This window comes from Homo sapiens, chromosome 2 (genome assembly GCF_000001405.40).
Source record: "Homo sapiens chromosome 2, GRCh38.p14 Primary Assembly".
Lineage (NCBI taxonomy): Eukaryota > Metazoa > Chordata > Mammalia > Primates > Hominidae > Homo > Homo sapiens.
Window position 1 is genome coordinate 199,970,072 of NC_000002.12, and position 24,002 is coordinate 199,994,073.

General features: G+C 40.0%; 1 long non-coding RNA gene across 1 annotated transcript in view, besides 2 other annotated features; it reads right to left on the bottom strand.

The window, feature by feature from the left end:
* Positions 1-525: 525 nt before the first annotated feature.
* The window catches only part of LOC124906112 (uncharacterized), a 204,201-nt gene continuing 180,724 nt past the window's right edge, over positions 526-24,002 (bottom strand). The window contains exon 3 of the long non-coding RNA XR_007088012.1: positions 526-1,973. This is a non-coding gene — a long non-coding RNA (uncharacterized LOC124906112). The remainder of the gene's footprint in view (positions 1,974-24,002) is intronic.
* Positions 9,791-10,321: an enhancer, noted in NCBI's record as "OCT4-NANOG hESC enhancer chr2:200844585-200845115 (GRCh37/hg19 assembly coordinates)". NCBI's record gives its function as "activates a minimal SCP1, AML or CMV promoter by ChIP-STARR-seq in naive H9 embryonic stem cells {active_cell/tissue: H9 hESC(naive)}" and the evidence as "EXISTENCE:reporter gene assay evidence [ECO:0000049][PMID:30033119]".
* Positions 10,087-10,146: a silencer, noted in NCBI's record as "silent region_12222". NCBI's record gives its function as "represses an Ori minimal core promoter by ATAC-STARR-seq in GM12878 lymphoblastoid cells {active_cell/tissue: GM12878}" and the evidence as "EXISTENCE:reporter gene assay evidence [ECO:0000049][PMID:35858748]".

The following is a 24,002-nucleotide window of genomic DNA, read 5'->3' on the forward strand; positions in this document are numbered from 1 at the left end:
GTTCATAGCTTAGAGTTCACTAAAAACTCAAGGAAATTACTATACAAACTTCTGAAGTTTTGTTCCGCATAGCTTGCTCCTGTCTGAACATTTGCCTTACACCTCTGGCCTCTTCAGACTCCATGGCCTTCCATGTCTGTCTCCTCAATTCAGCAAGTTTATCATGTTTTGCTGGGGATTTTTTTCCCTGGCTGGGTGGTCTAGAAAGTGCCCCACACAGAAATCTGGGTTATCATAGGATCTGCCTTGTTCGTTTCTCTTCTTTCATAGATAAAAATACTGTGCTTCCTACTGTCCAGTGTTTGAGCACAGTAGTTTCATGTAATCTGCTGAGTTGTCTAGTGTTTAAGGCATCAGGATAAATGTTTATTATGGCCAAAGCAGAACTTATTTTCTTATTTTTAAATTTTTTTATTTTTAATTTTTGTGGGTACATAGTAGGGTTATATATTTATGGGGTGCACGTACATGGGATGTTTTGAAATAAGTATGCAATGTGTAATAATCACATCATGGAGAATGGGGTACCCATCCCCTCAAGCATTTATTCTTTGTGTTACAAACAATCCAATCATGTGCTTTTTGTTATTTAAAATGTACAATTATTATTGACTATAGTCACCCTGTTGTGCTATCAAATAGTAACTCTTATTAATTCTTTCCAACTAGTTTTTTTGTACTCATTAACCATCCCCATCCCCACTCCCCCACCCCACCTCCATTTCCCTTCCCAGCCTCTGGTAACCATTCTTCTTCTCTCTCTGAGAACTTGACATGTTTTTAAATAAGCTTTCTAAATGTGTTCTGTGTTGGTGTGAGGAACACCACACAGAGGAACAAACAGAGGAAGAAAAGAGTTTATATCATGTTCACTGGAGTTGTCTGACTTTTGAAATATGAAGCTGTCACTGTTGGCTTTCACCGAAGTGGCTATATCATCAATACAGGCTCCCTGATCAGAAAACCTGTAGATTCTCTTAAAATCAAGAACTAGTTAGATGTGTTCTACTTTGACCCAAATGAACTTGGCTTGCCAAGTATGGGACACACAGTGACACAGGAAGAAGTTAGAAAGGACTACTTCTGGGTGGCTTACCACTCTTTTCCCAGGACTGAGCATAGCCACTAAGACAATAAATTCTCAAAAATATTTGCAAACTAACAGGTGATGCTTATTTTTAGTTGGCTAGGCTCCTCAGACTATTCTCCATTAAGACTAATTTTCTCTCCTAGAAGAATAGCTATGAGCTACAAAATAACGCACTTAACTCCTGAATGTCAGCATTGGCTAGATCAGGAAAATGTTTTTAAAAACTCCTGAATGTTTTTAAAAAATTATCTGAATTAAATTTTTTCCCTAACTTTTCATTAGAAAAAATTTCAAACATACTGAAAAGTTGAAAGAAGGGTATTGTATTAGAGTTCCCCAGAGAAACAAAACTTATATTTATCTATCTCATATCTATGGAGAGAGAGAGAAACATAGATAACTATGGAAACATATATAGAGAAATTTAACATTCGTATAGTGGTTTAAATGTTAATCTCATCAAAAACTACTTTCACAGAAACATCTAGAATAGTGTTTGACCAAATATTTTCATTGAAAGCATTTGAAAGTAAGCTTCAGACATCATGTATTAATATTTCAACCCTAATATTTCAATATGTGTTTCCAAAGGATAAGGACACTATCCTATATAACCACATGTACATTAGCAATAATTCCATAGTATCAGCTAATACTTAAATTTAAAATTTCACCAGTTGTCTTTAAAATGACTTTTTAATTCAAGATCCAGTCAAGGTTTACCCGTTGCATTTGGTTATGTCTCTTTAGTCCTTGTTTCAAAATTTAGAATATCCCCATCCTCATTTATGGCACTGCAATTTGGAGAAGTCTAGAATGGTAGACACACAGCATGTCCCATATCTTGAATGTGCTTGTTTTTCTATGGCATCATTTCTGTAAGCTGGAAGTTAGGGCGAAAGAGTTGATTAGATTCAGGTGAAACATTTTTGGCAAGAATATATAAGTGATTTGCGGACCTCCTATTATATAACGTCAGGCAGTACCTAATTTCTTATTGTTCCATTGTTTAGAGTGGTGATTATGAGAACCCTCAGTTGTAAAAGTCATTTTTTTCTCTTTATAGTTAATAAGTAATCTGTGAGATGATACTTTGATACCTGGTAAATATTCTGCTCACAAGATGCCCACATACTAACCTCTGGAACACGTGAACATGTGTTCCAGGGGTTAGTTGGCAAAATAGGACTTTGCAGGTATGATTAAATTCAGGATTTTGTGATGGGAGGTTATGCTGGATTATGTGGGTGGACCCAGTGTTATCACAGATGTCCTTATAAAAGGGAGGCAGGCGGGTCAGCGTCAGAGAGAAGGACATGTGATGATGGAAGCAGAGGTTGGAACTATGAGGGGCCATGACAGCCATAGAATGTGGACAGCATCTAGAGTCAAGAAATGGCAAGAAACAGATTCTCCCCAGAGCCTCTAGAAGGAACGCAGCCACACTGACCCATTTTAGACATTTGATCTCCAGAACTGCAAAATAATAAATCTGTGTTGTTTTAAGCCACTACATTGTGGTAGTTTGTTACATAAGCAACAAGAAATTAATACAGAAGATGATCCTTATATGAATCAGTGTTACCTTATAATTTGCCAAATGATTATTCTTTAATTCTATAATACCTGCTATTGGCATTCTTTGATACAACAGAGCCCTATCCCTTCATTTTTCTTAAATATCACTAGAAACTCATGAATTCTTTCATTTTTTAGATGAAGTCTCATTCTGTCACCTAAGCTGGAGTGCAGTGGCAGGATCATACTCACTGCAGCCTTGAACCCCTGTGCTCAAATGATCTTTCCACCTCAGCCTTCCAAAGTGCTGGTATTACAGACATGAGCCACCACACCCAGCCTAAACTCATGGATTTTTATTCATCCAATGTAGTATCAATTATAGTTATTATTCTTGTTGATGCCTAAATATGCCCCAGTTTTGCCAGCAGGAGTCCTTGTAATCTGTCTGTGTGACAGATTAAAGATGAACATGACTCTGTTGTTAGTCTTTGAGTGCGCCTGTGTTTTCCAATGTAACAATACATTTCAGGATCTTCTTGTCCATTTCCTGCCTCAGAGCTGGAATCAGCCATTTCTCCAAGGAGTCTTTTTTTTTTTTTTTTTTAGGGCGATGAATTTGAAAACCAAGATTTGAGCATTTTGAGGTGTTTTCTCATTTTATGTCTGTAAGAGAATGTTTATACATGTTTGAGATTTTGGATCATTTACCTACAATAACTTTGGGAAAGCTAAATGTGGATTGTTTGCCTTTATTTCTGTCAACCTTATTTAAAATAATTCTTTCCCCATCACTATGCCCTAACCCTGATTTATTTTGGCTTATAGCACTTATCACGATCAGACATTGTAGGATGTGTTTGTTTATTTCTCCCATTGTCTTTGGAACTAAGGAAAGAACTTTACCTATCTTGTTCACTACTGAAACAATATCTCATACAAAGATATTGTTTCAGGCCCTGAAACAATATCTCATACAAAGTGGAGCTCAGTAAATATTAGTTGACCGGATAAATAAGAGTGAGCCTCACTTCTGTTGAACTTCCTAGTTCACATGGCAGGAACTTTTTCCCTCTTGCTTTTGATTTGATACCCTAGCAAGCTGGATGTGATTTTTAAAATCATGTACAGTACCCCTCTCAAGGAGTATATGGTATTATTGGATGTTTGACCTCACTTTCATGGTCCTGTAACAAATGTCATTCTTTCTGAATTCCACACGATGGAGCTAACTGTATATGGAATCTAAATGCCAGGATTGGCTGTAAGTTTGGTAGGATTTGAAGCCGCTAAGGAAGGGGAAGATTGCTTTGCTTATTGACAGATTTTTCTACATAGATGTGTTTTAGGAAATTGCTCCACAAAAATATTTTATGAATATAATTTGTTGATGTTAAAGTGGTTAATTGCATGGGTCAAATTGGAGGGAAATTTTACCCATATCCCTGCTGGAACCACAGATTGTATCATTCAGTGCCTCTGTAATTATGCCCATCCTGGGAAGACTGTGTGATGTATCAGTCAGGATAATGTAGATTATGCTGCATTAACAAACAGCTTCTCAATCTCAGTGGATTGAAACAAAACAAAACAAAACAAAACAAAACAAAACAAAAAGGTTTGTTTCTTGTTCACACTGTATGTTCAGTAAGAGACACCTGGGGACTCTGCTCAGTGCCAGCTCATCTTCTTCCCCGGACACAGGCTGATGGGAAGCCACTACCGGCTATGATAGCAAATGGAAAAGACAACTCTGAAGGGTGAACCTGGAAGTGATACAATTATTTCGCCAGAACATGGTCTCACTCAACCATAGGGACCCAGGAAGTACAAATCTGCCATGTTCCTGGAAGGCAGAGGGTAAGAAGTATTTGGTGAGATGCAATAATGATTACCACATGCAGAAAAAGCACACGGTTTTACATCACAGAGATCAAGAGAGAGACTTTCCAGGTGTTTTAGTTACACATTATTAACTGAGCATTATTGACTACTCTGCTATGGGGGTCTGGAGATGAGAATCACTCGTTCAGTGTAACAATGATTGCAGATGTCTAAACCAGTTTAAGTGAGAAAGGCTATAGAGCCCTTGAATCCATTATCTCCATTTGATGAGATCTGCTAAGGTGTGCTAACACACTCATTAGATTAATGGGGTCACCTAGGAGGAAGCAGTGGCTTACGCCTGTAATCCCAGCTACTCTGAAGGCTGAGGCAGGAGGATTGCTTGAGTGTGGGAGTTTGAGGTTAGCAGTAGTCTGGGCAACATAGTGAAACCTTGTTTCTAAAACAACAATAACAACAAAATTGGTTATGTCAATATTATTATAAATTGTTCATTATCTCAAATTTTAAGAAACTTACATAAGACCTTGTAAGAGTACTTGATATTGGCCATTTTAATTTCACAATGTGGGCAGATTATGCAAATGATTGGCATACTGTTTAGGATTACTTCTATTAAATAACTGCACGAAACAAAAACTTTTAAATATTATGGCTTAAATAATATAGAAGTAGTTGTTTCCTCTTACACTAATAGAGATTCAGAGATATGATGCTTTGGGGCTTGTATGCCAACTCCACAGAGTCCTCAGAGATCTAGGCTCCTTCTAGTCACAACTATCTTCTTTAGGGCATGATATGTGTCCTTATATTAAAAAATGGCTTGTAGAGCTCCAGCTCTCATATCCATATTCCATGGAGCAGAACGGAGGAAAGAAAAGAACAGGCAAGGGGTATATACATCAGCTGTCTTTTAAGATGCTTTCCCAGAAGGCACAAAAAACATTTCCACTTAATTTCATCAGCCAGGAATTAGTCATATGGTCACATGTAATTGGGAAGGTGAGGCTGAGAAATATAGTTGTTTAGCTGGGTACATTTTGTTGCCTCAAATAAAACTAGAGGTCCTAAAACTGAGGAGGAGGGGGAGAATGAATATTGGCTATAGGCTTCTAGCAATTTGCCCTAATTGGGTTACTTGAGTCATGAAGCCACACAGACCCTGCCAAATAGCTGACAGACTTGCTTTCCCCAGCTTCACTGACAGACCATGGTGGCTTCTAACTGCGGTCTGGAAATAGCCCTAAATATTGCCTAGCTATTTTTTCTTTCTTTGAGATAGGGTCTCACTCTGTCACCGAGGCTGGAGTACAGTGGTGCAATCACAGCTCACCAAGGCTCAGGTGATCTCCCAGGCTCAGGTGATCCTCCCACCTCAGCCTCCTGAGTAGCTGGGACTACAGGCACACACCACCACACCTGGCTAATTGTTTGCATTTTGTTTTGTTTTGTTTTGTAGAGATGGGATTTCACCATTTTGCCCAGGCTAATCTGTAACTCCTGGACTGAAGCAATTCACCCACCTTGGCCTCCCAAAATGCTGGGATTACAGGTGTGAGCCAACATGCCTGGCCTTGCTAAGCTAATTCTTACATAAAGTTTTTAATTTATTTTTAATTTTTGTGGGTACATAGCAGGTGAATATATGGATTACATGAGACATTTTGACACAGGCATGCAATGCATAATAATCACATCAGGGTAAATGAGGTATCAATCATCTCAAGCATTTATCCTTTGTGTTACAAATAATCCAATTATACTCCTTTAGTGTTTTCAAAATGTACAATTAAATTATTTTTTACTTTAGTCATTTTGTTGTGCTAGCAAATACTAGATCTTATTCATTCTTTCTAACTATTTTTTTTGTGCCCACCAACCATCCCCACTTTCCTATCACATCCCCACTTTCCTATCTCTGCCTTCATAGACTCTGGTAACCATCCTTCTACTCTCTATCTCCATGAGTTCAATTATTTTAATTTTTAGCTCCCACAAATAAGTGAGAACATGCAAAACTTACTTCTCTGTGCCTGGCTTATTTCACTTAACATAATGACCTCTAGTTCCATCCATCTTGTTACCAATGACAGGATCTCATTCTTTTTTATGGCTGAATAGTACTCCATTGTATATATGTACCATATTTTCTTTATCTGTTCATCTGCTGGTGGATACAGGTTGCTTCCAAATCTTGGCTATTGTGAATACTGCTGCAATAAATATGGAAGGGTAGATATCTCTTTGATATACTGATTTCCTTTCTTTTGGGTATATACCTATGGGTGGGATTGCTGGATCCTATGGTAGGATTTTTAGTTTTTTGAAAAACTTCCAAACTGTTCTCCATAGTGGTTGTACTAATATACAGTCCCACCAACAGTGTATAAGGCTTCTCTTTTCTCCACATCCTTGCTAGCATTTGTTATTGCCTGACTTTTGGATAAACGCCATTTTAACTGGGGTGAGATGGTATCTAATTGTAGTTTTGATTTGCATTTCTCTGATGATTAATGATGTTGAGCACCTTTTCATATGCCTGTTGGCCATTTGTGTGTCTTCTTTTGAGAAATGTCTATTCAGGTCTTTTGCCCATTTTTAATCAGATTATTAGTTTTTTTTTTTTCCTACAGAGTTGTTTGGGCTCCTTATATAATATATTCTGGTTATTAATTCCTTGTTAGATAGGTAGTTTGCAGACATTTTCTCCCATTCTGTGGGTTGTTCTTTGCTTTGTTGATTGTATCCTTTGCTGTGCAAAAGTTATTTAACTTGAAATGATCCCATTTGTCCATGTTTGCTTTGGTTGTCTGTGCTTGTGGGGTATTACATAAGAAATCATTGCCCAGACCAATATCCTGGAGAGCTTCCCCAATGTTTTATTGTAGTAGTTTCATAGTTTGAGGTCTTGGGTTTAAGTCTTTAGTTGATTTTGATTTGATTTTTGTATGTGGCAAGAGATAGGGGTCTGGTTTCACTCTTTTGCATATGGGTATCTCCTTTCCCAGCACCATTTATTGAAGAAATTATCATTTCTTCAATGTATGTTCGTGGCACCTTTGTCAAAAAATGAGTTCACTGTAGATGTGTGGACGTACCTCTGGGTTCTCTATTCTGTTTCACTGCTCTATGTGTCTGTTCCCGGGTAATTTAAAAAACTTAAATGAAGTAGAGCACCCAGAGAAAACTTTTTGATTTTAGAGCCATTGAAGGGTTGCTCCAAATGATAGGTCCAGATCTCTGACCCTCACATCGTGTTGTTTATACCACATACAGGTTCCTGTCTAGAGGACCCTGGATACAGTTTATCCCATCTTCAAAAGTAACCTCCTCCCCGCTTCCTTCCCTATTATAAACCTATCAGTTTATTGGACATTCTATCAAAATTTACTTGCTTAGTAAATTGCAACTCTGGCTCACTTTTATGTGAGATGTAGTCATGGTTATCCTGTGACTATTATTCTACTCTCTCACTAGTAATACCTTAGATGAGATGTAGGCAAAGAATCCTGTGGTACTTTTTACCTTCATGTAAAGAAATTCACCAAGACCAGTGCAAGAATTAGATGGTGATTTCCTTTTATGACTCATCCCCTAGCTTCTGACTTTTTAAGTGCAGAGTGGCTATGGACAAAGTTCATGGGTTTAAGAGAACACCCTGCCTGCCCTTCCCACCACCCCCATCCTGGCATTACTGGTTTTCAAAATGTGCATTGCAGTCTTACATCTGACTCAGGGCAGCTGAAATGCTTCAACAGTGCAAAATGAAACTGCTCTGTCTCCTTTCTTATGATACCACATCTGAATAATCCCCTATACTGCAGAGAAAAGAAAGACATAATGTGGTTTTATCTCAAACCAGAAGTAAGCAAATCAATAATTGACCATATTAACTAACTCAGTGCTGGGAAAGAGACTTCTTGTTATTACTCCTTAAAGCAAAACAGAAACAAAAAGTAAACAACTTTAAAACCAATGTAAAATTATACCACATTTAAAAAATCACATATTTTAGTTATAGTCAATTACTTTGAGACATTTTTTTTTCCTGAGGGAATACACCAAGAAGTAGCCTCGTCCAAAGGAAGCCATTCTTTGGGGCCTTATTGGAATTTTATTTGACTCTCTCCCTCCCTCCCACTACTCTAATTTCCTATTCTTTCTGTTCCTCAGTCATATCAAAGTTGCCCTTCCCCTGACACTTTTGCAGGAACTGCTCCCTCTGCCAGCTGTGCTCTTTGCTCAGATCTTCAATGGCTGATCACTTTCTGACAGTCAGGTTATAGTTTAAATGCCACCTCCTCTAAGAAGGCTTTCCTGACCATTCCATCCAAAGCAACCACATCCATTACTCTCTCCTGCCACCCTGTTTTATTTTACTACAGCATTTATTATCATCTAATAGTTCATTTTTTATTTTTTATTGTCTGCACCTTCTCCTCAATTAGAGTTTCAATTTAGCACCTCCTTATGTCTGGCAAAATAGTCTCTACTTCACTGGTGTTCAGTTTTGGGCAGGCTTTCTCTGTCTTGGATTACTGACATTTGGGACCACACAAACCTTCACTGTGGGGAGGCTATGCTGTGCATTCTAGGATGTTTTACAATATCTCTGGCCTCTATTCATTAGATGCATTTTTGGTGGTGACAACCAAAATGTCTCCAGATACTGTCAAAGTTCCCTAGGAGACAAAATTGCATGTGGTTGAGAGGTACTGGTTTAGGCTGTTAGCTGCTGTGTAGCTGCTATGGTTGTCAGGAGACAACATTGTCTTAGAGTAGTAATAGCTATCATTTGTTGAATGCCTACAGGTATTGAGCACTGTTCTACAGGCTTAACATTTAGTATTTACTATTTAATAAAGTAATAGTAACTTTAGTAAAATAATAGTAAACATTTAGTCTTTACTATTATCCTCATTTTACAGATTGGGAAACTGAGGCACATGATTACTTGCTTAAGTTCACACCGTTAGTAAGTGGGGAAGTCCGGAATTCAAACCAGGCTCCAGAACTCTATGCTAACAGGAGTGGGCAGTGCTGTGGGATTCTCACTGCCGTGTCCCTGGTGGCAGAGACTGGACAGCAAATGGGCTCCCTACCCACTCAAACCCACACAGTTGTTTGCTCAGAGTGACCATGGGCAAGTGACGACTTTCCTCTCTGAGCCTCAGTTACCTCTGTAAATAGTAGTAACAATAATAATAAATTCCATGTAGAGTTGCTTTAGGAACTCAGTGCAATAGCCTAAGCGAAAATAGCAGGTTTCTGGCACATAGTAAGTTCTGAATTCATTTCCTCTCTCCTTCCTTTCCTCTTGGCTCCAAGCTCCAAGCACTGAAAGCAGATCCTAAAGACCTTGGTCAGACAGCGCATTGGGAAATCTAACCTTTCAGCAATCTGCGGAGCCGCCCTGCTGTTGACCAGAAGCAGGGGAAGCAGCCCCCTTAGCAATAGCCTGCCGGGTTAGCAATCTTGTTCTCCTGTGCTAATAACCAACAGCACAAGTCATCAGCACTTTCCCGTTAAGCCAAAAGGGGCTTTTAAATCTATGCTGATTAGATGCCCCTGGGCCTCGCTGACAAGTAGTCTTCCTTTCTCCATTTCTTGATGTGAGTCAGTGAATTAATTGCCTGACCTATTGTTTTCTAACACGGCAAATTAAATGAATTTTCGGGTGAATAGCCCAAGCCTTTTGGCCTGCAGGGGGCGTCCTTTGCAAACATAAATCTGTTGGTGCTCAGGCTAGCTGGTAGAGCCCCATCAAAAATTGGATGCCTTTGAAAAGTTTGCTTAGAGCAGGGGTTCTAAATTTGGTGCGCACAAATCTCCATGGATAAAATTCTGTGAACTTGGATGGGAAAAACGCTATATGTTTATTTTCACTAAGCTCCAACTGAAATTTAGCATTTTCTTCAATTATGAATATAGGCAACAAATTACAGATATTTACAGATTCCACTACGGTTGTTGCAGATATCTTGAAATACCATTTACATCTCATGACTTCAAAATTACAGTAGCTATAGGACTACTGCTGGATCTTGTCATTTAATGTATTAATAAAAAAGCACATACAGAATTATATCACAAATTTGTTTTTGTTGTTGATATTTTAATAACTGTCTTTTGATATCATTGGTTTGCCTTGTAATCTTATGTATTTAGTTTTATTAAGTTTAAGACATTATTTTGAGAAGGAGCCCATGGATTTCCCCAGACTGGCAAAAGGGCTCATGGTACCAAAAAAAAAAAAAAAATTAACACCTGGCTGAGAGGCCAATAGGACTGGAGAAAAGAAGTCAGTCTTAAAGGGAATCTTTGTGCTCAATAATTTTAGTCATGACTCAATTCTTGCCCTTCCATCTTTTCCAGTGACATAAACATGTCCCACACTTATATTAAAACTATTAACCCCTCGTAGACTTTGGCTTAGACAAAGACTTCACAACCAAGAGCCCAAAAGCAAATGTAACAAAAACAAAGATAAGTGGAACTTAATTAAGCAAAAAGCCTTCCGCACAGCAAAATAAATAATCAGCAGAGTTCACAGACAACCCACAGAGTGGGAGAAAATACTCACAATCTATATATCTGACAAAGGACTAGTATCCAGAATCTACAAATAATTCAAACAAATCAGCAAGTAAAAAGCCAAACAATCCCATCAAAAAGTGGGATAAAGACATAAATAGACAATTCTCAAAAGAAGATACACAAATGGCTGGCAAGCATATGGAAAAATGCTCAACATCACTAATTATCAGGGAAATGTAAATTGAAACTACAATGTGATACCACTTTACTTCTGCAAGAATGGCCATAATTAAAAAATAATAGATGTTAGCATGGATGTGGTGAAAAGGGAACAGTTTTACACTGTTGGTGGGATTGTAAACTAGTACAACCACCATGGAAAACAGTGTGGAGATTCTGTGAAGAACTAAAAGTGGATCTACCGTTTAATTCAGCAATCCCACTACTAGGTATCTACCCAGAGGAAAATAAGTCATTATATAAAAAGATACTTGCACACACGTTTACAGCAGTACAATTTGCAATTGCAAAATATGGAACCAGCCCAAGTGCCCATCAATCAACGAGTACATAAAGACACTCTGGTATATACCAGAGTGTCTTTATGTACTCGTTGATATATATATATGTACATATATATATATATACACACACACATATATATCAACGAGTAAATATCAACACATATATATATGATGGAATACTACTCAGCCATAAAAAGGAATGAAATAATGGCATTTGCAGCAACCTGGATGGAACTGGAGACTAATATTCTAAGTGAAGTAACTCAGGAATGGAAAACCAAACATCGTTATGTTCTCACTCATATGTGGGAGCTAAGCTATGAGGACTCAAAGGCATAAGAATGATACCTTGGACTTCGGGGACTCTGGGGAAAGGATGAGGGATGGTGAAGAATAAAAGACTACACACTGGATACAGTGTACACTGCTGGGGTGATGGGTGCACCAAAAGCTCAGAAATCACCACTAAAGAATTTATTCATGGAACCAAATACTCCCTGTTCCCCCCAAACCTACTGAAATCAAAAAATAAAAAATTTTCAAAAGCTATTAGCCATGATGCTTGGCAGTGTGCAATTTACAACATCAGGGTAGAATTTTGGTGTATTCAGAATTATGTTGACTGACTAAATTTTAGCACATCCAGGATGCCTGTCATCCTGGCCTTGGGAAGGAGAGGCCCAGCGTTTCCAGCTGCTTTTACAATTTTTGTTATGCTTGATTGACTTCCAGGGCTCGGGAATCTTCTGAAAGCCTAGGAGTTTCTGTGCAGGCTCAGCACTGAGATTTATTGCTTTTCAGCAAGAAGGTCTAGCATTCTGAGAGTGTTCCTTCTAGAATCTACTCTTCTCCCACTCCCTCAAGAAAAACTCTGAAATATCTATAGACAGAGAGGAAGAATTGGAAACTTACACATAGTTTCTTTCTGCATATTCCTATTTCTTTTCTCTTAGGGAAGTGGGACCACCCTATGGGGACAGGACCAGACTGTGCCAGACTGCGCCAGGGTGAGGTGTCCAGGTTTCCTGACCAACCCTGCTTGCTTATCCAGGCCTTGGCATCTGAGGGCACAGGAGCCGGGCAAGCCCAGGCAAGGACTGTCCCCTTAGCCCTTTCTTCCCCCCCTCTCTCAGGCTCCTCCTTTCTCTCCGCTGGGTCTTTATGCTGCTCCCTCCTCATCTACTCCTCAGGCCTGCCTTTCCACTCCCAAATCCAACCTTTTCCTTCCATTCCCTGGAAAAACAATCATGATCCCTGCAGCAGCAATAATAACAAAACAAAAGCCACTCCCTTTATTTATTAAAAACCCCTAATGTGCAGGTAATATGTGTGGCACTTCAACTGCACCTTCTCATTAACCCCTTTAATCAGCTCTTGTGGGTTGATGGTGTCTGCCAAGATTCATGTTCACCTGGCAACTCAGAATTTGACCTTATTTGGGCCTTTGCAGAAGTAATTACTTAAGGATCAAGAAGAAATCACTGTGGAGTAGGGTGGGCCCTAAATCCAATGACTGGTGATGTTTTAAGAAGAGGATAGAGCACAGAGACACAGAGAGAAGACCATGTGAAGACAGAGGCAGAGATTGGCGTTAAGCACCCATAAGCCAAGGAGTGCCTGGAGCCTCCTTGTAACAGACAAAGAAGGATTCTTCCTTAGATCCTTTAGGGGGAACATGGCCGTGCTGATACTTTGATTTCAGACTTCCGGCCTCCAGAACTATGAGAGAAAAAGTTCCTGTTGCTTTAGAACTTTTATTGTTTTACGTTTGTGGTACTTTGTTAAGACATCCATAGGAAACCAATAGCCATGCCTCCTAGATGCACTAAAATTTAGTCAGTCAACATAATTCTGAATACACTAAAATTTTATCCAGATGTTGTAAATTGCACTGCCAAGCATCATGGCTAATAGTTTCATCAGCCAATAAGATGGGCATTATTACCCCTGTTTGTTCAATGAAGAAACCCAGACAAAATGTGTAATACCTGCAAAGATTTGCATATCCAGTGAGGGCTGTGGGATTGTAACCCTGATCTAAGTAACCCCATCTCCTTCCAATCTCCCTTCAACAGTGCTGGATTCAATTAACTGTTGACTTTGTTGATTAAAGTAATTCATATTCAAATTTGAGGAGGTATTGAATAATACCGTTGGTAGCTGTGTTGTAGAGGAGTGTAGAATTCCCTAAGACCTTCTGGCATATCTGAAGAAGGGAAGGGTTGAAATAGGAGCAGCTCTCTCTGCTGTTTCTGCTTAACAACTCTTAGAGAAAATTAGCAGGAATCTGCATCATACCAGTCCCATTCCCTGGGAAGGTTTGCTCTCCTCCCTTCACTTTCATTCCTCTCCAGGCTAATTTAGGGGGTTCTACAGATGTTCAAAATGATGAATTAAGATCATTCTCTGAGGCAGGCTTCTTGTCATTGCCATAAGCCATCAATTTCCCAGCAGATTATATTAGGAACATTTTTATAAGCCCAAAATGGCATTATAAAAGTGTGGTAAAGTTATTTGTTGGTGGAGAACAGAGAGGACTTGCTTTTGCCCAGGAGGACTTTCTTCCCCCGCTGCATAGGAACATTTCGAAGAAAACAGGTGTCCATCCTTATAAAATCACTCCATTCCTGTGGCTCTTGCAGGTACTGCCATATTCCACATGCCCGTTCCCTCACGTGGTGTGTAGGTCCTGGGGATGTTAAACACTTATGGACCTCAAATGGCATCAGCATGGTGCGTGGATGGCCTGTGACTTGCTATCATGAGTCTGTCAGGGATGCAATGATGTCAGCTCACTTGGCTGAGGGGCTGGCAGTTTAACAATGTCCCTATCCTTGGCTTGTCAAGAGTTATAAGCTTACACAGTGATAGGAAAGTTTTTATTTAAAAAACAGAATTTCTAACACAAGATCAATTTTTGTCTTGGCAGTCCTGATACTGTCACTTTAGGTAAAAATCACAAGTTCAAATCCCAGCTCAGTTCTCACCAGGTGGGTGTCCTCAGGCAAGGTCTTCAGCTTCCCTGGGCTCTGGGCCTTTCCACTGTGACAATACTAACCCATTTCAAAGGCTGGTGTTAGACTGAAACTATTAAAGTCAAGCAGAAAATAAAAATGGGAAAAAGCAAAGCAATAAAAAGGGTGTGTTATCCCTCACCCCCACACTCCCGTTTAATGTTAAGGGAGTCTGAATATACTCAGATGCGGCTATGACCAGAGAGCTACTTGCCAACAGCAAGAAACAGATTTTCCTAAATGATTTTTTTTAAAGCTGTTAATTCCCTTTTTTTTATTTCCCATCTAATTCCTGGCAGGAGAATAGACAGCGGGGAATAAAAACCTCTGTTGAGTTGGCAATTTTAGTACTCATATACAAGACTGTTTTATCATCAATCCTCTGAGGTCAGGGGGTCTATAAAGACATAAAGGGAGTCTTTCTTTCTAGTTGTGTTTGAGCCAGGACACTTGGGCTCTTTCCTAGTGTCTTACAGAACCAGCTTTTTACTTCTGCTGGTCCAGCCTCCTTACTTAACAGCCAGAGAAATGGAGGCCAGAGGGTTTCATAGCCCTTCAGGCTTTGTTTTCCTCATCTGTAAAATGGGGATGATGGTTCCTACCTTAGAGGATTGTTCTATATTTTAAGGGAGTAGAGCCATACCTGGCATATGATAAGCCCAATGTAAGTGAGAGGCAGCAAAGCTTGATAATAAAGAGATAATCTCTATATCAGATGGTCGGGCCCACTTCCTGGACTGCCCCTTACTATTAGTGACCTTGGATGAGTTACTTAACAGTCCTGCTCCTTGTAGAGTTGTCACAAGGATTAAATTAGTTAACATACATAAAACACTTAGTGTCTGTCACATCGTTAAGTGCTATACTGGAATTAATTCTTACTATGGTTATTTTGAAAGACATTATGTGGTTTCTATAGAATTGTCCAGTTAATTAGTGGAGAGGGCCACAAATAGAATAAAAAAAAATTGGGGTCTTGTGTGTATTCTATACCAAACCAACGTACCTAGTTATATACATAAGCGCCAGGTTCATTTCTAACTTCTTTAGGGCTACTTCTGACTCCTATGACTATGATAGAGCTAACTTGTTAATGTCATCCACCTAGATCGGTAGAGTTTGCAGCACAGCTTAATTGGGAGGTTCATCAATAAGCCACACACATGCCCGTGGGACTTAGAAGGAAGCTCAGCCATTTGTCTCCATTAGAGGGCGCCAAGGGGAGACAGCATGGTGGAAGGAAGAGAAAGAACCAGTTGCTTCCTGTTCCTGTTAGGGTTTCCCAGCCATAGCCCTTCACCCCAGCAAAGGCAGTTGATTCCAGTGTGCAGTTTTCCCAGCCTCTGCGGACACCCGCTTTTCAAAGATCAGAATCTGTCCTCTGAGATCCTAACAAGCCCAACCTTCTCCCTTTGTTCCCCAGCCTGAAGTGGTGACTACTTTCTGCAGTTATTATTTCTGCTACATTTCAGTGGCCCCTTTTTTGCCTTGTCAATTCTTTAATCTCTAGCTAAAAATTCTTTATATTGAATTCTAATTCTCACTGATAAAATAATCGAAGTGCTGTATTTCTTCTTACTGGTATACACATGAATATGCAGTTATAAAAATAATACATAAATAGAGGCCAACAGAAAGTCCTCAATGATATCACCCCCTTTTCTCGCTGCAGACTGAACGTGATCATGTAAGTTATGTCTCCTTTGAGTATCTGTCACTTAGTTACTCCACTCCCTAGAGGAAACCACAGCTATCAGCAGGTGTCTGTCCCTCTAGAACTTTAACAAATACATTTACATGGATATATATGTATATATACACACACACATATATACACACACATACATATATATATACACACACATATATATGGTAGAGTATGATCACATAATACAAACATAATGAAATAATTTAAAATAAATGTAACTATACTTTAGCACTTTAAAATATTTTTCTCTTTTCTAAGAAAACTGATTTCTTCCATTTTCACATCTTAGATTGGATCTCAGCTCTCTATTCTTGCTTCTTTTCACCACTCAAAAGGGCATGTTTTCCCTGCAATTCTTGTTTTTTTTCTCTCTCTCTCGATATAACTGATGCTAGGTACACAGTAGGTGCACAATAAATGGTAGCCACTATTATTATCACACCGATCCTCACTGCCTGGCTGTCTTTGAAAACCAAGACCTAGGATAATAAGGTGTCATGAGCTAATAAGTAATAAGCATGCTTATTAATAAGTAATAAGATGCTTCTATGTCCTTTACTAACCAAGCCCTAACTCATTTTTGAGCCCCTTACCAAAAAGTGCGTGAGAAGTATGAAGGGAAAACATACAAACAAATAAGATATTGTCCCTGCCCTTAAATTTCTTATAATCTAGGTGGGGGCCCCGCCCTGGCAGTTAAAAAGTGCCAAATGAATATGAAAGGTGTACATGCTGGAAGAGTTCACTTCCACCGGGGAGATCGGCAAAGATGTCACAGAGGAGATGGAATCTGAACTGAACCTTGAATGGTGGCTTGGACTTGAAATAATGGAAGAGAAAAGCCAGAAAGAGCATTAAGAAGTTGATCTATGGGATCTAGATTTTCCATCACAATGAAACAAGTTACTTTCTGCATCATAGATCAGAATTACGCAAAACCAGTATGAGGTGGACCCAAGAAGAGCAACATCTCTCTCTATAAAACTCAGAGGCGGATCTGTGAAGGAAAGCATCTGTTTCTCCAGTCTAAGGTGGGACGATTCTATGCTGCCATGTCAAAGATGCTATAACATTTATTTTCTTCTTCCTTTAACCTTTCCACAGTTCTGACAATTATTCTGCTGTCCCTCTTTCCCATTCAGCACTGCTCAAGGCTCCTTTCCCCATGTCAACAACTCCAAGCTCTTCCTCAACAAACAAACAAAAAACATTAAAAACCTTTTTTCAATTCACCTGAATTTGCAGACCCTGATTTTACATTCAAAGTCAAGCAGCCCTGTTGCTTTATCATTTGTAATCCCTTCAGATTTTTTCTTAACATCTCAATGAAATTCTCTCATAAATCCCCTTCTTTGCTGACCAAGTGCGGTGCAGTTGCTGATTTTGCAAGATATGTGCTAATGTAAAGTATGTCTCCTTTGAGTCTCTTTATCACTTGGTTGCTCTCTGCTCCACCTTCTCCATATTTATGTCCTTATCAGAGCTGCACACAGTATTTCAAATGAGCTTCAGTGTTCTTCCTGCCAGGCCACAGTATTGACTGTAATACGATAGCCTATCTCAAAATTGGTTTGGGGGATTCTTTTTCTCATTGTGGTTAAAATAGCTTGCCTTGTAAATGCCAGAATATATTTTTGCAGATTAGATTTTTTATGAAAAATGGTGTCAAATGCTTTCCGGAAGGGTGTTTAAATTATTTGGATAGGCTGCTTCATCCATTAATGTTTTCTTTTGCAGTTTAACCTCACAGGTTTGCAGGACAGTTTCACCACTGAAAATTTGTGCTGATTTCTTTGTCATTAAACGTAACTTTTTTAAAGGATTCTTACGTTCAAGCTGTGGCTTACGGCTTCAAAACACTTTCCCCCTGCTGTTGAAATCATGAGGTCCGTGGTCTCCCAGATCTTCTCTAAAAGTCTCTCTTAACAGAGAAGAAGCCTTCGCAGCATCTGTCTTCTTCAGCTGTTGCCGCTGATAATTTCAGACATATTCACAAACCCTGCTCTGCATCAGACAGCTGTTACGTGGTTACCGAGTGTTTGTGTGAGAGTGTGTGGCTCTGTGTCTCCTTTCAAGTTTCCACTTGCATGTAAGATTGTCTGAGAAAGGTTTTGTGCTATTTCCCCAGTGCAGTGTGTTTCCTGTTTTCCTTGGGAGGGCTCTGTATTGTAATCATTTTTCCACTCCAAGATCCTTCTAGGCTGATTTCCTTAACTGTTTTGACTCCTTCACGGTGTCTAAATTTGCATGTTGGCAATACAATGTTGGAGTTTATTTCACAGGGGCAGAGCACATTCCACTGCTGTCTCATCCCTATCATTTCTCTTTACTCCATTTATCTAAGCACTTGCCACATTCTTCTAAACCTAAGATCCGAAACCTCAGTTTGGGTTTTCTAGTGCTTGGATGGATGTCAAGATGATTTATAAAGCACTCTCATCCCAGTGCCATGGGCCAGTGATACCATCAGTTTAGCAACTCCTGAACTGCTTACCTAGAGTTGCCTATTGATTAAGGCTGCTACCAGATGCAGCTTGGTCCACATGCTCCAACCAGCAAGCCCTAGTTTATGAGCCAGTCATTTATGATGAGCATCATCTCAGTCATCATTGCGCGATGTGCTTTTGGCACTTTTTTGATTCACATGCATAGACTGCAGTCACCCATAATTAAATCCTGTCACAGTTGCATGAATTATTTTATCTAATCATATTTAATTCACCTCCTTCTTCTTTTGGAAATCTCTAGTGAGCTTCAGGCTTCATCCTGTAGATCTTTTGTCTATTTCTGAAGCTAAAGCTAGATTGATTACACATTCTGGCCTTTGAATACTTTGTGCTAGTCCTCATGCCAGGAATATAAAGCAACCTATTACCAATGTAGTTTTCTTTCTTTCTTTCTTTTGTGGCATCTAAGACTTTTCAGATCATACGATCCATCTGAACATGGACCAGTGGTTCTCAACTGGGACTATTTTGCCCCCAGGGGAAATGTGGCAATTTCTGGAGACATTTTTGGTTGTTTACAGCTGGGGGAGGAGTGCTACTGGCATTTAGTAGGAAGAGGCCAGAGATGCTGTTAAACATTCTACAATGCACATGACAGTCTCTCACAACAAAAAAATAATTTAGCCCAAAATTTCAGTAGCGCCAAAGTTGAGAACTCCTTGTACTCCACCAAATGATTCTAGATGTACTTAAATGTGGTAAGAATACATCTATATCCTCAGATCCCTGATATCTCTTCTCTGGGTCCAGGGCATGATCAAAGATTATCTTTTGAGAACACAGCTATATTTTCAACTCTGTTTCCTTAGGATTATGCATCTGAATGGCTGAGTTTGCATGTGCAGAGCCCAAATTTGCTATTAATCCTTGCTACCTTCTTAATTTACTTATACCTACTTCTTTCGACCAGAAAAGAAAGAGTCTAGCCAGCCAGTGTATATTTAACTCATTTATTCATTTATTTTGTGAGTGTTTGTTAACAACAGGCATTAAGTTAGGTGCTGGGGACTGCTAGGTGCTTCCATTTATACTCCATTCTCCATAATTTAAGCAAGCTGGCATGGGTCATAGCTCTCTCTAAAGCATCAATTCATCGGTACTCAGAGACCAAGTTTTTTTCGCCTGAAAGGTCTAGAACATATCAACTTGTACTTAGAGCAAAAGAGAATCTTGGAGTCCGAGAGTGTACTTTGCTCTGAGCCCTGGCGAGTCAGCTATTATGGCCCTTGGGTAATCTAAACATGACTTTCCCAAATGCTTTTATCTAGAGAGAGTGGTTTCAATCTCTTTCACCAGAGTAGCGTAGTCCTTTTATTATTGTCTTTATTGTTTCTAAGATGTATGAGGTTTTCTAGGTGCTCAAAGTTGTTCTTTGGAAATCAAGTCAGACCATTCTTATTGGTGTTCCATATGTTAAATCCAAACAAAAATGTTCTTACCTTCTGTGGCTGATCTTAACTGGAACATGTGTTGGTGTCTTTAAATCCTTTCCCCCGATCACCCTACTAGGCTTTTTACTTGGTCTACCTGAGTCAAGGTGTAACAGGTCTCAGCATGAAGGGGTGAGGGTGGGGAGGCTGGCAGACCCAATCAAGAATTTTTACTCAGACTCTGAAGGTATGACTGACTGAGAATTGGGTTCACTAGGTTCTGGCCTATACAGGAGCTTTTTTGGAAAACAACCAAAATTACACACACACATAGACACACACATACACACAGACACACATAAACACACACACACACACACACACACACAGTCGTGTGCTGCATAATGACTTTTCAGTCATTTCAGATGGACCACAGATATGATGGCGGTCCCATAGGATTCTAATACTGTTTTAACATACCTTTCCTGTTTAGATAGGTTTAGATACACAAATACTCACCATTGTGCTATAACTGCCTACAGTATTCAGTACAGTAACATGCTGTACAGGTGTGTGGCTTAAGAGCAATAGGCTGTCGTCCCATATAGCCCAGGTGTGTAGTAGGCTATATCATCTAGGTTTGCATAAGTACACTCTATCATGTCCACATGATGACAAAATCACCTACCAACACATTCCTCAGATACTATCCCCATCATTAAGCAACACATGATTATGCATCTGTGTGTGTGTATGTGTGTGTGACTGTTAATGTAGGAACATATAGCAACGTATAGCAATAAACATACTTCCCTCACTTGGGGCATAAAATGTGTTGGTAAAGTGGAGTTTAAAAAAGTGCTCTTTAAAATCACAACAGCCTGAAGCTGCTCTGTTTCTAAGGGACTGGACTATTTCTCTAGGAGTAGATTGCCTTCTATTATTCGAAAGGCGAATATTCCTTTTCTTCTCTTATTCCCTGTTCCCATCTCATCACCCTCTCTCATTTGAAAGAACAGGAACATAGAATTAAACTGCTCTCCAAAAGAAATGATGAAGAGCAAGTGAAAAGGAGAAGAGGGGCTGAGAAATGTCACCAGCAAAAAGTCACCAGAGGGAGGGCAGTGGGGGTGGTAACTAAAGGAATTTTTTTTTTTTTTTTTTTTGAGACAGGGTCTCACACTGTCACCCAGACTGGAGTGCAGTGTTGTGATCATAGCTCACTGCAGCCTCAAACTTCTGGGCTCCAGAGATCCTCCTGCTTCAGCCTCCCAAGTAGCTGGGACCACAGGTGCATGACACCATGCCCAGTTCATTTCTTAAAAAATTGTTTGTAGAGATGGGGTCTCACTTTGTTGCCCAGGCTGGCTTCAAATTCCAGCCTCAAGTGATTCCCCTGCCTTGGCCTCCCAAAGTGTTGGGATTACAGGTGTGAGCCACTGAGCCCAGCCCAAAAGGACTGCTAAGATATTTAATATTAAAATTTAAAGTTGTTTATTTCCTAGTGTTGTGGTATAGACACTATGGCCCCTGGCTGCCTCTTTGTCCCCAGCAATGCTCCAACACTTGAAGAAAGACTGGTCTATACTCAAATGTCTGATCGGTGATATCTGGGGCCAATAAAAAAGAGAAAGACTCATCTGGGTCATGTTGGAGCAGAAAGCTAAGAACAGCTGCATGAGATGAGATGTGAATGAGACTGAAAATTTACAGGGGCAGCAAATTAAAACCACAAGTGCTCATGAGAGTTTAAGACACCAGGCATTCACAAACATCCTGAGGAGGGTATTGCACTTTTGCAGGAAAGGGAGTTCTTCTCAACTATATGTAAATAGCAAAGAACGGGTACCTCTGCTGATCATCTGAGTTGCTTAACATTCAAATGACTGTGAAGGTAGGCCCAGACATCTCAAGAATCCACATGCTACTTCATATGTGGAGAACATTTGAGCCATTCATTCATTATTCAATAAGTATAGAGCCACTTCTACATACCAGACCTAGCAAGATATGATGGCAAACAAGATGGCCACAGTCCCTGACTTCATGGAGTTTACATTAGTGAGGGGGGAGTAGGGAGAAAAATGGGGAGAGATGATAAACATTTAAATACATAAATGGTCAGAATAATGATGGATTTTATGCAATATTAAAAATGGGGTGACGTAATAAAAAATACCAAAGTGGGTCATTTTAGGTAGAGTAGTCACTGAGGTCTCTTGAGGAAGTGACTCTTAAGGCCTAAAGACTTAGAAAGAATCCTCCACACAGCAAGCAAAGGGAAAAACACTCCGGGCAGAAGCCATAGCAGGCACAAAGGCCCTGAGGCAGAAAGAGACTGGAAAATCTCTGGAATCCATGGAAGGCCAATGACTAAAGACTAAAACTTCACGAGAAGGTTGGGAAGGGTCATGAGATGAGGTTTAAGGGTTAGACCATGGCCAGTAAAGGCTCTGAAGGCCAAGAAATGAAGTTTGGATGTCCTTTTAAGCCCAATGGGAAGACTAAAGAATTTTAAGCAAACCAATGACATCATCTGGTCCAAAGAATTCCCTGGATTGTCAGTATGGAGATGGTTGGAGGTCTTGACTAGAACAGTTTCAGCAGAGCAAAGGGAATGGAAACTGGATTGGATTGTGCTGTGGAGTGAATAGGAGTGAGAAGGTGGAGACAGTGTGCTCACAATCCTTCTAAGAGGTTTTGAGAAATGGGATAGCGGTTGGAGGGTAACGTGGGGTCAGGAGAGGGTCTTTATTTTTGTTTTGGTGTTTTCCTAAATGGGAAATAATACAGTATGTTTACATATGATGTCAGGAGTGATTCAGTCCAGAGGGAAGCAATGAAAAAGGAGAAGGTATAACTAGGGAGACAGCATGAAGGACTGAGACTTGAGCCCAAGCAGAGTTGCCTTTGGGAGCACCTCCTGCTCTGGTGGGAGGAAGAAGAAGATAGGCAGATGTAGGTCTTACCACATTTGTTTTACTGAGGAAGCAAGATTTCTTTCCGCCACTGCAAGGCTTCCAATGTTAACTGAACTCGGCGCAGCCGGGCTGCTCTGTGCCTGCTGATGTGATTGGCCAAGAGACTGATGAGAAGGGAATGAGAGGGTTTGAGCTGTAAACAGAAGCCACAGCCAAGAAGGAAAGTTCGGGTCTCTCCATTTAATTCCCCCATCCTGTTCTGATCCAGAGAAGATTTTGGTCATTTTCAATTCAGTAGTTTAGACTTTCATGGAGTGGTCCAGAGGGCCCTCAGGCTCAGAGGACAATGAGGCTTGAGGACAGCATGTATCTACAACTGTGGATAGACTGACACCCTGGACTGGCCAAGCCCAGGTCATCTGGGCTGAGGTAGCATTTAGCTAGCAAGCAATTTTTTGTGGTAAGAGAAATTAAAGACTTCCTCCATAAGTCTCTCTGTGGAAGGGGGAAATTGACGAGGGTCAGGCAGCTGTTAAAGGACATCCTGTAACTGCTGAGAACAGAATTGGATAAGGGTAGGGTTCTACCAGAGAGTCAGGAACAGCAAGAGAAGGGAAAGTAGAGAAGGGGACTGGGGGTGGGCAAGGATTCTTAGATATAAGGTTTTAATGACACGTCCTACTTGTGATTCAGTGTTCCCAGCAGAGGAGATGGAAGGAAATTATAGCTTGTGTGCCTGAAGGGCTGGAACTGAACTAGGATTTTATGCATATGATATTACTTAAGCCTCACAGAAATCCTGTGAGGTAGTTTTCTCCCCCTTTAATTTTACAGGTAGGCAAATGGAGGCTCAGAAAGTTAATGTGCTTAAAACTACATAACTAGTAAATAGCAGATGCAGAATTTTAGCCTGGATCTGCCTGACTCCAAATCCCATGGATTGGCCAGAATGGTGTTCTCCCTTCCTG